Source organism: Homo sapiens, chromosome 4, assembly GCF_000001405.40.
Source record: "Homo sapiens chromosome 4, GRCh38.p14 Primary Assembly".
NCBI lineage: Eukaryota > Metazoa > Chordata > Mammalia > Primates > Hominidae > Homo > Homo sapiens.
In genome coordinates, this window is record NC_000004.12 from 23,961,994 (window position 1) to 23,974,643 (window position 12,650).

The following is a 12,650-nucleotide window of genomic DNA, read 5'->3' on the forward strand; positions in this document are numbered from 1 at the left end:
AGGTGCCATTTCCAACTAAATCAAACCCTCTGGCCAGTACGAAAAGGGTTAGGGGGAAGAAATCAAACAGCAAATCTGCTGAGAAAGCCAAATGAGCCCATCTTCCATAACCCCTCTTCTCATCTTTTTATTTTTTTTTAATAACAACAAGGGAAAGTAGAAATAGCAAGGGGACAATTTTTTTCTAGATATACTGCTGTGGAATAGAAAAGTCTCAATATCAACTCCACAACAATTGTCAAATTCTGTTGTATATTATGGGGGAAAGAAAGTAAAGCAACCCGGAAAGGGACCAAACTTAGGATAGTTACCTAAGTGGATCACATTTGGACCACAGGGTCATCTGGCCCAATATCCTCCTTCTACAAATGAGAAAGCTAAGGTTCAGAGAGCCGCAGAGAGTTCATAGCCAAACAATTCTCTAGCAAGAGCACCTCACCACTTGCCTTTCCTCTGCTCCACTAAGAAGATACCACTCGAGTCTACCATCTCTGAGTCCAAGGCTGCCCAAGACAATGAGACAGTCAAAAGCAGTCAATGCTTCCTAATTCCAAATCCAAACTGGGTGTTGGAAACTCAGGCTGACTTTTCCCAGCCAGGAAGATATTTGTCTATGACTGAGCAATCCCCAAAGTCAATACAAGACTCCTGTTTGCCAATGGCTTACTGCATGAATTTGGTCTGTTGAGAGCACAGGGCCAGGTGGGAGCCTGCACGTACAGATTATAACCTTGACTGAAACCCAAGTAGGGAAGGTGATAAATGCAATTGCCATTAGTCTGTGCCTTTTACCTCTTCCATTTCAATTGTCTCCTACTCTTACCTGACCCCACAGGAAAGCTGCACAGCAAGAAGCACCACTAAAAGAAGGGAGGCCTCTTAAGCTCCAGGGACTTGAGCTCCTAGCTGCAAATTTCCTTTCATTCAGAAGAACACTCGCCACCTTTTTTCTCAGCACAACACTTAGCATGCTCATGAGCGGGGGAAAGTGTTTCTCGCCAGGAATAAGCTGTAAGGTATATTTGAAAATTGAGATTTTTGAATGGCAATTGCCATTTCTCAGTGCCTTTCCAATGGGGGCCATCTATCTGCAAAGTGACATTTTGTGATCCTGACATGGTGGAGACCCCGTGAAAAAACCACAATCAATCAGCTTCTAAAACACAGGCTAAAGAAATGAGGACCTAGCATTAAACCTAGAAGATCTTTTATGATTGTTCGTCAAAGGAAAATAGCTAGGGATATTCATTTTTCAAATTATTCTCCCTCACTGGCCTCTCTTATTGCTATTACCATGAACAATATCATTCTTTACCCACTGCAAGAACATTTAGCAAGCAAAATACCATTGACAATCTTTACTTTCAAAACCATTCACTCCTGGCAAGAGACAATCCCGGATGAACTTTCAGAGTGCTCAGCAGAGTGAATGAGTGACTTTTGGTTGATCTAATTTACATGTCTCTTTTTTCATCTATGTATAATTTCTGTTACATGGGTATTTAATGCCTTTGTCTTCTAGAACCTGTAAGCCCTTTGTAATTATTAGTTAAGACTCACAGTCTGTTTGAAACAAGAGGTATCTTGTCTTTGTAGAGATGGAGAAACTCTGGAAGGACTGAAGATCTACATGGAGGCACAGTTTTACCTCAAACCCTAGAGAGAAGTCAGTATGTTTCCCTTCACCCTCTGGTCAGCTTACCTCTCCATAAATGTGTGGCCATAAATTAGGTTCCTGCTAACCGCATAATTGCTTTCATGAACCCCCTTTCCTGGTTGTCCTGCAGTAGATCCTGGGTGCTCCTGGAAAGCTGGCCAAAGGAATGGGAAATGAAGGTGTCATAGTCGGGTGAAGAGTAAGGAAGGATCGGCCAGGGAGGAAATTTTGACGGTTCTGGTAATCTTCAAATGAGTCTTCCTGATAATGTGGTCAGGCAGCAGTGTGGAGAACACAGCAGATGGAGGTAATACCCAGAGGCCAGTTAGAAGATCTTTACAGGGTGAAGCCACACCACCATTTTGGCTAAGGGAAAACCTTACACAGTATTGTGGAGATTCTATGAGATTAATGTAAAGCAAACAGAACAAGATTCCTTACAATACAAGTTCAATTATGATTGCAAATGCTTCAATGGTGCCTGCCTAAGCTGGGAACTGTTCTTTTATTCATTAAATCTTTGCAACAACTCCAAGAGGTAGATAACTATATTTTGCCTCCATTTTTACAGATGAGAAAATTAAGGCACAGAGAGAATTAGTAACATAAGTTTTAGAACCAGAATTCAAACCCAACACTTTGTCTTCAGAATCTGTGCTCCTTTCATCATAGCAACTAGTATTAATTATGAAGGTCATAGATTAGAAATGGAGATTGATTTAAAATATGTTAAGAGCATGGTGACCAGTATGATGTAAGGATGATAAGAAAAGGGATGACCTAGGCTGGCTTCTAGGGTTTTTCCTGATAATCCATGGTATTTCTCACTGCTGTGCAGAATATAGAAAGAGAAGCATGCTTAAGACCTGTTGACCAAGTCTGATGTGTCTGCAGAATATTCAGGTAAAAATGGCTAATATGCAGGTGGTATATGGATCTGGGTCTCAAAAGAGAAGTTAAGCCCGGTGTTATAGATTTGGGGGTGATCAGAAAACACATGGGAGTCATATGAAGGGATGAGATCACACAGGAATGTGTGTGCAATGAGAAAAGAGAAGACTGAAGAGAATCCTTTTGAGGGCAGAATGGAGTGGAGGGGAACCAACACTGGAGGGTTGAACAAAGAAGAATTCTTAAAGAAGTTCAATGAAGAGTGGCTGGAGAAAGAGAGAGTGCTTAGTGGAAGCCAACAGAGAGGAGAGTTTCAATAGTCTTGATCTGATTTAAACTGTGTTTTTCTAATTGAGGAAAAAACCTTGTCTCCCTCCACTTGCCTCTTTAGGATACCACTTACAAACCAAATACAAAGAATTTCAAAGACAGCATAGATAGACTGGGGCCATCAACTCATTTCTCAGGAAAATAAAGGCTCACTTCATTAGCTAAGGAGAAGTCATTGGGACCATCCTTCCCCTATTCTCCCATCAGTGGGACCAGAGATGGACCATCCCCCGTATCTGACCACTAAGGACCCATTTCCTTCTTCATCTCAAAGACTCTCTCCTCCATGAAGTTCTTCTGTATACTCCAGTTGGGATTAGAGAGGAGATTCCTTATGGTCCTAGAGATCACCCATCCATAGCTATACATCACTTTTCTTGGACTGATTAAAATCACAGTTGCTTGTGTATCAGTTCAATTTATTGCTAGACCAAAAATTTATTGATGGCAGAGTTCACCTCTTATCATTTCTATACCACTAATGCTTGACACTATGTCTGGCCCACAGTGGGGGTGCTTAATAAAAGCTTGCAGAGCACGAATGAATTTAAGTCTTTAGTGAAAGCATAATGAGTACATTTAAGTCAGCCTCTACAAGTTACTCCAGCTTCACCCTTATTCATTGTGCCTCTCCGTACAGAGGTACAATACAGACTTTCAACATCTGTAAAATGATTGAAATAGCAAGAGCTAGTGAAAAGCAAATGATATTATACAGACAAAGTGCTTAAAACATAGCAAACACTCAATATTTGTTAGCTACTAAGCAGCAGCTCCTCAGCTTGAGGGCTGGCGAAGCTCCTGTGTGGAGGGTTCTAGAAATCCTCTGCCTTCTTTTGGCCTTGCTATGGGCCCTTCCGAACCCAGGGGTCCTGATTCCCAACCCACTCCTTTAACTCCTGTCCTACAGGATTTATAGCCTGACTGCGACAACTAATTTTGGAACTGTAATGCCTCCTGTCATCTTCCATAAATTTGACATAAATAAATCACAAAATACCCTTTTTATATCGCTTTTTATCTTGTCATGCTTCTTGTTTCTTTTGGAAACAGTTTTTATGGCAAATGCAGAGTGTAAATCCACCCGACAATAAAGCATGCCAAACAAGCATGTAGAACAGGCACCTGAGAGGAAATTACCCACCATTTGCAGAGCTCTACACAATTATCAGCAGGATGTTCTGGAGTGGGCCTGTTAAACGCACCGCACTGTATTGCTCGCACACAATTTGCATAGCCCCAATGTAAACAATATTGTTAAACAAAGGAAAGTGGGCACACACTGGTCCACATCTTCATTCTGGCCTCCTCTTGCAGCAACATAGAGTCTAGACTTTGCATGATATCTCCCCTGCCTGTTTCCTCGGAGAGGTCATTTCTCCTAAGGCAGCAACATCCAATAGAGCTTTCTGCAATCATGGAAATGTTCTGTATCAATGCTGCCCAGTATGGTAGCCACTAGCCACCCCTGTGTGGCTGTTGAACATTTGGCATGTGGGTAGTGAGACCGAGAAACTAGATTTTTAATTTTATTATAAGTTGAATCAATTTAAATGTAAATAACCACATAGAGCTAGCAGCTACCACATGGACAGGGCAGTAGAGATTATGCAATATGTGTTCGCTTTCAAATATCTTGTCCCACACATCTTCAATTTCAAATACCAGGAATCACATTAAGTATCCACTGATTACTTTCTCACCCATCTCCCGTAGTTTATCCTAACAGTGACCCACTGGAGTAGTTCTTATCCTCTCCAACATTTAAAATGGGTATCAGCAGCTCAGAGAGCTTAAGGAATGAATATGGACTCTCTCAACTAATCTGTGCTGGAGCAGAGATTTGAACCCAGGTCTGTCTATCAAAGCTTTGTTGCTGCCAGAGTACTTTTTAGACCAGGCATTGTGGCTTGAAGTTATTATGCCTCAACCATTACAGCAACCTGTGTATGAATTTGTTAGCACTGCAGGTTCAACATTCAGAGGAGAGGGCTTCTGTCTGGGAATGGAGAGAGCCAGCTTCTCATCACGCCATACTGCCCACTAGCTGTTGGTGTGAGGCCATGCATCTCCCAAAGCATTTCTTCATGTGTGAGTACAGGAAGAAATCTCTGTCCCTGCCTACCTCTCAGCCTTGTTGACAGCATATGCAAAACTCATTTGAGGATGTGCCACACAGTAAAAGTACTGAGATGTAATGCCTTATTATTAAAGGAAATTCTAATGAATCCTATAGCACCCTATTTATTTCCTGCCTAAGTTGCCACAAAAGCCATATGCAATATCATTACCCACATCGATACTTACAGAACACCCCTAAAAGCCTACACTCTGTGCAGCAAAATTAAAGGAATGCATCCCGTGGCCTTTTTGGAATACCAAATTAAAGCAATGACAATCCACCACAGAAAACCCACGCCACCATGCGCCGATTATTAACATGTTAATTTCTATGTCCCCGCTTTTGAAAATGATTCTGGGAACTACTTATTGAATTTTTAATTTGCAGATTATCGACCAAATTGGCTGCAATGGCTCTGAGCAATGGGGCCCACATGTCAGCTGGGTAGGTAAAGCAGACGCATGCAGACAACAGCAGCTCCAGTGCTGATGGGATTAGTCTGCCGACTCGGGAACCGGGCTTCTGATTGGCTCCTCGGAGTGTCAGGTTCAAGGGAAGGAATTTAAAAATTTCCCATTAGTGTGTATAGGGAAGGGAAGAGATACAGGAATTCTTTCCTAAAGAAGCTTCTAAAAATTATTACACAATCTGAACCTCCAAAGTCATTATCAGGTTTATCTTTGATGATATAAACCCTCCTTTTTCTTTTCCTTTCTTTCTTCTCTCTGCCTTTTCCTCCATCCTCCTTTCTTTTGAATATTGTAATGAGTAAGGCAGACTCTGTCTCTGCTCTCCTGGAGCTCAGAATCCTGCTGAAGGTTATCGACACAGAAGCAGTGTGTGAAGCGGTGTGCAAGGGCTGTGTTGAAGAAAGTACATAGGAACATATAGCTTAGAGGTGGGGAATAGTGTATCAAAAGAAGCCTTCCCAGAAAAAGCAAATTAAAGGAGGAGGAGGAGAGAGTCCAAGAGGTGAAGGGAGAGAATGTTTCAAGCCCTAGAAACAACAGAAGAGAAGAACTGGAAGTAAGGAAGTACTTGGCACTAGCATCCCCATGGCCAGGTCCTCTCTCTGCCACCTTTGCTCATGGAAAGGCTGTGGAGGCCTCATGGTTGAAATCCTAGACATCAGGCAGAACAGCCTCCAGATCCCATAAGCCCCACTGTCCTCAAGCAAGTGACTTAAACTTTCTAAGCCTCAGTCTCCACATCTGTAAAATGGGAATCTGATAGTATTTTTATGAGAATTAGAGGAGAACATATTCAGTAGGGCATACAGCACTGTATCTGTGAAGGGCTTCATAAATGCAAAGGGCTTGCAGTCTTGTCACTATCATCATATTCTTCATGCTCATGAAACTGGTCTCTGGTATCCTTTCTGCTGATCTAATGTCCTTCCTTCCTTCAGAGCACAATGTTAATCCCACTGCAACCAACCAGTCCAGTCCAGCCCAGCCCTCAGATCATGCTGGAGTCCCTTCCACACCTAACGTAACTTTAGCACTCTTTAGTTTCCCATTCATTCTCTACTCATACTTTTATGAAGACAGTCATCTTTTTCTTCTAAATACCTTATTTCTGCAACTGGATGACAGTAACTTATTCTTAATAATACATACCTTATTAAATAAGAACTATTGGCCAGGTGCTGTGGCTCATGCTTGTAATCCCAGCAATTTGGGAGGCCACGGCAGGAGGATCACCTGAGGTCAGGAGTTCGAGAACAGTCTGGCCAACATGGTGAAATCACATCTCTACTAAAAGTACAAAAATTAGCTGGGTGTGGTGGTGGGTGCCCGTAGTCTCAGCTACTAAGGAGGCTGAGGCAGAATTGCTTGAACCCGGGAAGTGGAGGTTGCAGTGAGCCGAGATCACACCATTGCACTCCAGCCTGGGCGACAAGAGCAAAACTCCATCCCAAAACAAAACAAAACAAAACAAAACAAAAAAACAAAGAACTACTGAGGCTTCACACTTGTCCAGAACTTCATAGCTTGCAAAGGGCTTTCACCAGAGAGAGTGTTATGGAGGCCTGCAGAGTAACCCTTCTCGCCCCACTGGGAGAGTATTAAGATTCTAATTTTCCTGACGAGAGCTCTGTGCCTCAGAAAAGCACAGTAGCTAGGTGACTTGTCTGAAGCCACACAGCTACTTCATGGTCAATGTGAGTCTAAGATTCAAGTCTTATGGCCATGACACTAAAGATAGAGTCTCGATAAATGTCTGTTTAGAGTCTTTAGGGAATGGCTAAAATTTATTGAGGGCTTACTGTGTACGCTGTTCTAAAAATGTCATCTATATGAGGTACACTAACGTCACAATTATCCCATGAGGCCGGGATTATCTATGTGTTTTATTGCAAACAAGGGAACTGAGTCCCAAACATGTTAATTGGCCTTCCCAGCATCACTAAACTGGTAAGTGATGCAGCTGTGACCTACCTAGGCCAATTCTATATGCATACTCTCGTAATAAACATGTAGCAATTTCTTTTACGCTTTTTGGGATACTTCCAGTGCCAGGAAGAACACACCAAACATGAACGTTCTCAGTGAGTATTTACTAATATTTTTAACAGTTTACTCTATCCTAAGAAGTATTAAGTATTTTGGAAAACTGGAAGGCGTGGATTGTTTATTTTCTTTCAAAGTTCCCACGATGATCTCAGCTGTCCAGGAATCAACTTTCTCTAATGTCTTTTTAAATTCAGCCCCAGTCCTAGACCTCTGGACATTCTGATGATTTATTTCTTTCTGCCACTGGGTCACTCATTGAACCCACACACGTTGGGAGTTCCAGACATATGCCTGCCTCAAGGGCAGCATCGAAACATGGATTACACACTCTCCACAGGAAGCAACTTTTCCTACTACTTGCTCAAAATATCCCAGTATGTCCCTTAATCTTTTCTCCCGGGATGGGGGAGGACTTCCCTTTGTTTTGTTTTCCATTTCCCACAGAGATGAAGAAACCATTCTATCCAACATGCCAAAAGCAAAAGAGACAGCAAGATGGTGATATAAGATATAAATACATACTGATTCCCATAAGCATTCTGTGTGATGGTTTAGAGTATGACTACCCCATCCCTGATTGACTGAAAGCAATGTGGACTTACTAACATTTAGACAGATTCTTACTTTACTAGCTATGCTTTACCTCTGTCTAAGGATTCCTGTGTAAGTCTGCAGAGGACTGAGGAAACATATGATCACCATAAATTTCAACTCACCATAGTAGCAACCCTTTGGTAAGATAGGAAACCAAATGACGCAAGCAAAACTTGGCCTGCTGCTGCAAAGGGCTGAGGCATTCAGGTGCAACCTTCTTGGGCTTTACCACTAGAGCTGAGGCTGAATGAGTTAATGGCAGGCTCTGAAGTCAGATGAACCTTGCAACTCTGAGTGCAGCCCTGCTATTTTGCAACTTAGCAAAAAACAAGCTGTTAGCCACATGTCCCAGCCTGGCCCCTCCAGTTTTTCAAATCATGATTTATATGCTTGGCTGCTTACATATGATACAGGCACTGTAATGCGTGGTTACTGAGGGGGTAGGTAACGGGGTTGGGAAGTGCTACATAAAGGTTTAGCACAATTAACAAGCTTGAATTTGACCCTTGGAGAACAGTGGATTCCATTCATGGAGTCATGCGCTATGTTCTTTGCCTTGATCAATTTATTCTGGTGAGTGTTTGTGTTACAAAATACTTTAACTGCAGCTAAGGGACTTCAGGTCACTAACTCACACCCTTTCTTCCTACCTCAATGGAAACAATACCAGGTCGGTATCTATTCTGAGGAGTCAGTGACAACGATTTTCATTAAAGGTCAAAAGGCCATTATGTCCCAGATTTTTGCTTTCCTTTTTGATTTTTCTAAAATAAGTAAAATAGTACTCACTTTTGTCTATTTCCTAGTATCCTTCTGATGATGCACACAGGCCTGATATTCAGCACCGTGTAGCTGCATTGTTGTTAAAATATGAAAACACTTTCATGCTGGCTACCTCAGTACTCCCATGCCCACCGCATGATCTGCCAGACCTTTCAACATCTAACATGGCACAGCAGAGGGCTCCACGCTCCAATTTCCAAGCTAGACCCAGGTTAATTCTGATTAATTATTGCCCAAGTGGCTGTACCCATGGTTTCATATGTATATACATATATTAAGAATATTATCTCTAGATAGATGGGACACTAAATGCAAGAGTACTTAGAGATTTTTGGGAGTGAGTTTCCATATACATTTAAGGTAATAGTAATGTAGTAATTCATGTATTACATGGTTACTGATGTAACCATCAGTATAGTTGAGGCATAGTGTGTTGAGAATTTCCTAATTTGCCATTTACTGAAGGTTGATCCACTTTTGCAGGAAAACCACCTGTATTAGTCAGAGTTCTCTAGAGGGACACAACTAATAGGACAGAAAAATATATAACGGGGAGTTTATTAAGTAGTATTAACTCACATGATCACAGAGTCCCACAATAGGCCGTCTGCAGGCTGAGGAGCAAGGAAGCCAGTTTGAGTCCCAGAACTCAAGAACTTAGAGTCCGATGTTTGAGGGCAGGAAGCATCCAACATGGGAGAAAGATGTAGGCTGGGCGGCTAAGCCAGTCTAACCTGTTCACATTTTTCTGCCTGCTGTATATTCTGGCTGTGCTGGCAGCTGATTAGGTGGAGCCCTCCCAGATTAAGGGTGGGTCTGCCTTTCCCAGCGCACTGACTCAAATGCTAATCTCCTTTGGCAACACCTTCATAGATATGCCCAGGATCAATACTTTGTATCCTTCAATCCAATCAAGTTGACACTCGGTATTAACCATCACACCACCCAAAATAAAGATCCTCTCCCTAAAAGATAGAAATGGACCCCCAGACCATGTGTTTCAGGCATCTAACTTTATTGGTTGAGCTTTCTCTAAATTATATATATACATATATTTTTTTTTCCAGCAAACAGCCATTTTTAATCAAATACATAATACATAATCTACCGTCAGGACCATCCTCTGTACTTAGAAACAGCATGTTATGGCTGCCAAGTTGCTTATCTCTAATGATGTTGGTTAAGTAGGATGGAAAAGAAGAAATTCATCTTCCCCAAATGACACAGGAATAAAGGCACTGACATTTAAAGAAATAAAATAAAATTTGAAATGTAAAACATCAGAGGTGGTGCTTAGGAGTAATGAAACTGTCAGAAGTTAAACACAATCAGGTTTAAAGAGATAATGATAAAAATGAAAATCTGAAATCTCTTGCCAGTAGAACAAACCTAGGCTAGGAAGATGAATTCAATATTTCCTGCAAATAAACAGCAGTTTCTAAAAATAGAAAGAACAGATGTGCAAGACAGAAAGTTTCAGAGAACTATAGATAGAGATGGCCAAAGTATGACTTTCTGTTACTCATTGGGATTGCAGATGAGGGCTTACAACCCCTCAGGTAACTGAAATTTTTATTAAACTGACAGACCATAGTTTAACACGTCCTTGATGGAATATACATGTGCTTACTTTTCAGACATAATACGTATGAAAGTGCTTTGTGAAGCACTAAACTAGTATCTCTTCAAGTGTGTTTCAAAAAATCAAGGACCTATGAGATACTTACTGAAAAATCAAACTACTTTTGTGCTGTCTCATACTATGTTTCTCTTATTTATTCACCACACTCATGAATATATGAAAGACTCTGAAAAGTCCTACAATGGAATTATTTTTCTTTCTTTAATCAATATTTCCCAAATTTATCTGAGCACAGAAAGCATTTTCATCTGTCAGAATCTGGTGAATGTTACATTAGAAAACGGTAAGATATTAACATTATTCTATTGGAAGATGCTTGAAAGACACATTTTCCATGCATATCTTCAGGTGTCCTACCCTAAGGCTTCTCAGAGGGACCATCTCAGACTTCGACCTGTGACTTCCTATGTGTGCCAGTGATGTTAGTTTGAGAATCCCTCAGCTGCTCGTTAAGCAAAGATTAACTGCATTATTATTCAATTGCAGGGATTCTACCAACTGACAAATCCCTGCAGGATCAGATAAGTCCTTCCTCTGTGGTCTTCCTGGGCTTGGGATGGATGCTGCTTGCAAACTTTCCTATTGCTTCACTCTCTCACTTCTTACCCAGCATTTTTATCACTGGCCAATGTTTGCAGGAAGGGCAGGAAGAAGAAGGAAGAAAAAATTTAGAGCAAGTGCCTTGTTTTAAGGAGAGCAGCCTTAGCCAAAAATGTCACAAATTAGCTACAATATCAGGTTCTCAATTCTTTCCTGATTTCCTCAGGTGCCTGGTCTTGGCTCTCCAAAGGCTTTCAGACTTTATTTTCCTTTCTTTGATTGTGCTGGTTAAAAAGATGGAATCTAAAGGAAATGCATCATAAAATTTATATTGGGCAGTCTTATCAGCATTGGACATGCATAATCTTGCCTTGCAAAGTTTTTGCTATGAAATTGCACACAAATTTGTTTCTTAAAGAGAGAGAGAGAGGAAACCCTCTATGTTTCTATGGTGTTTGATGTCTATTTATATGTTTCTTAAAGATAAAGCATTTATTCTATGCATGATTTGAATTTTATGCATCTCTTCTCTTTGCCTTAACGGAAGTGAATTCTTATTGCATAGCCAAATTTCACACTCAATTTATTCTGCAGAGTAACTCCCTCCCTCCAGATGGGACTATAAACCAGTAGAATGGAGTTTTTTTTAAAGTGTTCCTAATTGAATATATGGAATCTACTTCTGAAATGAAATCAAAAGCTCAGGGGAAAACACAGAACATCATTGGTAAAGGACACTAATAACCATAAAACAAAACAAATGTGTTGGTGCCAGGATGGGTTGGTAACCTTTAAGGTATTGCATCACCAAGTCATACAAAGGGTCAGCATATGGTGGGCTACGGAGGAGGAAAACTAGCTCTTGAGGCAAAAAATAAAAAATAATAAAAAATAAAAAATAATTAAAAATAAATAAATGAATAAAAGATTTTTCCAGCTGCTTTGAAGATTATTGGAGATCAAAGAGAGGGACTTCTGATGGCATACCAAGATGGAAAAGGAGAGGAGTAGCAGTAGAGAACGGGCCCAAGTATTAGTAGATCGAGAGCTAAGAATTAGTTGCACCATGTCCAATATTTATTGAGAATCCAATAATAATAACATGGCAAAAAACTGTTCCCTGCTTAAGAATGTGTGTGTGTGGCATTGGGTGGGGATGCTGTTTCCGCAAACCATCTGTGACAATGTTATATACACGCAGAGCAGATATCTGCTATGGATCCAAAATAATACCAATAAGAGTAACAATAATACCGACCATAACAATTGCTGAGTGCTTGCTATATACCAGGAAATTGTACTAATTCTTTGCACGTGTTATTTTGCTTAATTCTCACAGTGACCTTTGAGGTCAAAATCCTGTCTCTCGTGTTCACATCATATAAAAGGTGCTAAATAAATATTTATTGAATTAAAAAAATTGCTTTAACGTGGTTGCCATTATTTCCTCTCACTTACATAGGAGAAAATGGTCTCCAAGAGCTTTGAAAAGGTTAGGAAATTACATAATTAGTAGCTGCAAAGGCTGGCTTGCACCCAGGACTGTCAGTGTCTGTTTTTTGTTGTCGTTGGTTT

The 12,650-nt window shown here is 40.8% G+C and overlaps 1 protein-coding gene across 15 annotated transcripts in view, besides 1 other annotated feature; it reads right to left on the bottom strand.

Moving 5' to 3' along the window:
* Positions 1-12,650, bottom strand: part of PPARGC1A (PPARG coactivator 1 alpha) — a 680,885-nt gene that overhangs the window by 169,973 nt on the left and 498,262 nt on the right. The gene's annotated exons all lie outside the window — the stretch shown is intronic.
* Positions 10,734-11,276: an enhancer, noted in NCBI's record as "NANOG hESC enhancer chr4:23974350-23974892 (GRCh37/hg19 assembly coordinates)". NCBI's record gives its function as "activates a minimal SCP1, AML or CMV promoter by ChIP-STARR-seq in naive H9 embryonic stem cells {active_cell/tissue: H9 hESC(naive)}" and the evidence as "EXISTENCE:reporter gene assay evidence [ECO:0000049][PMID:30033119]".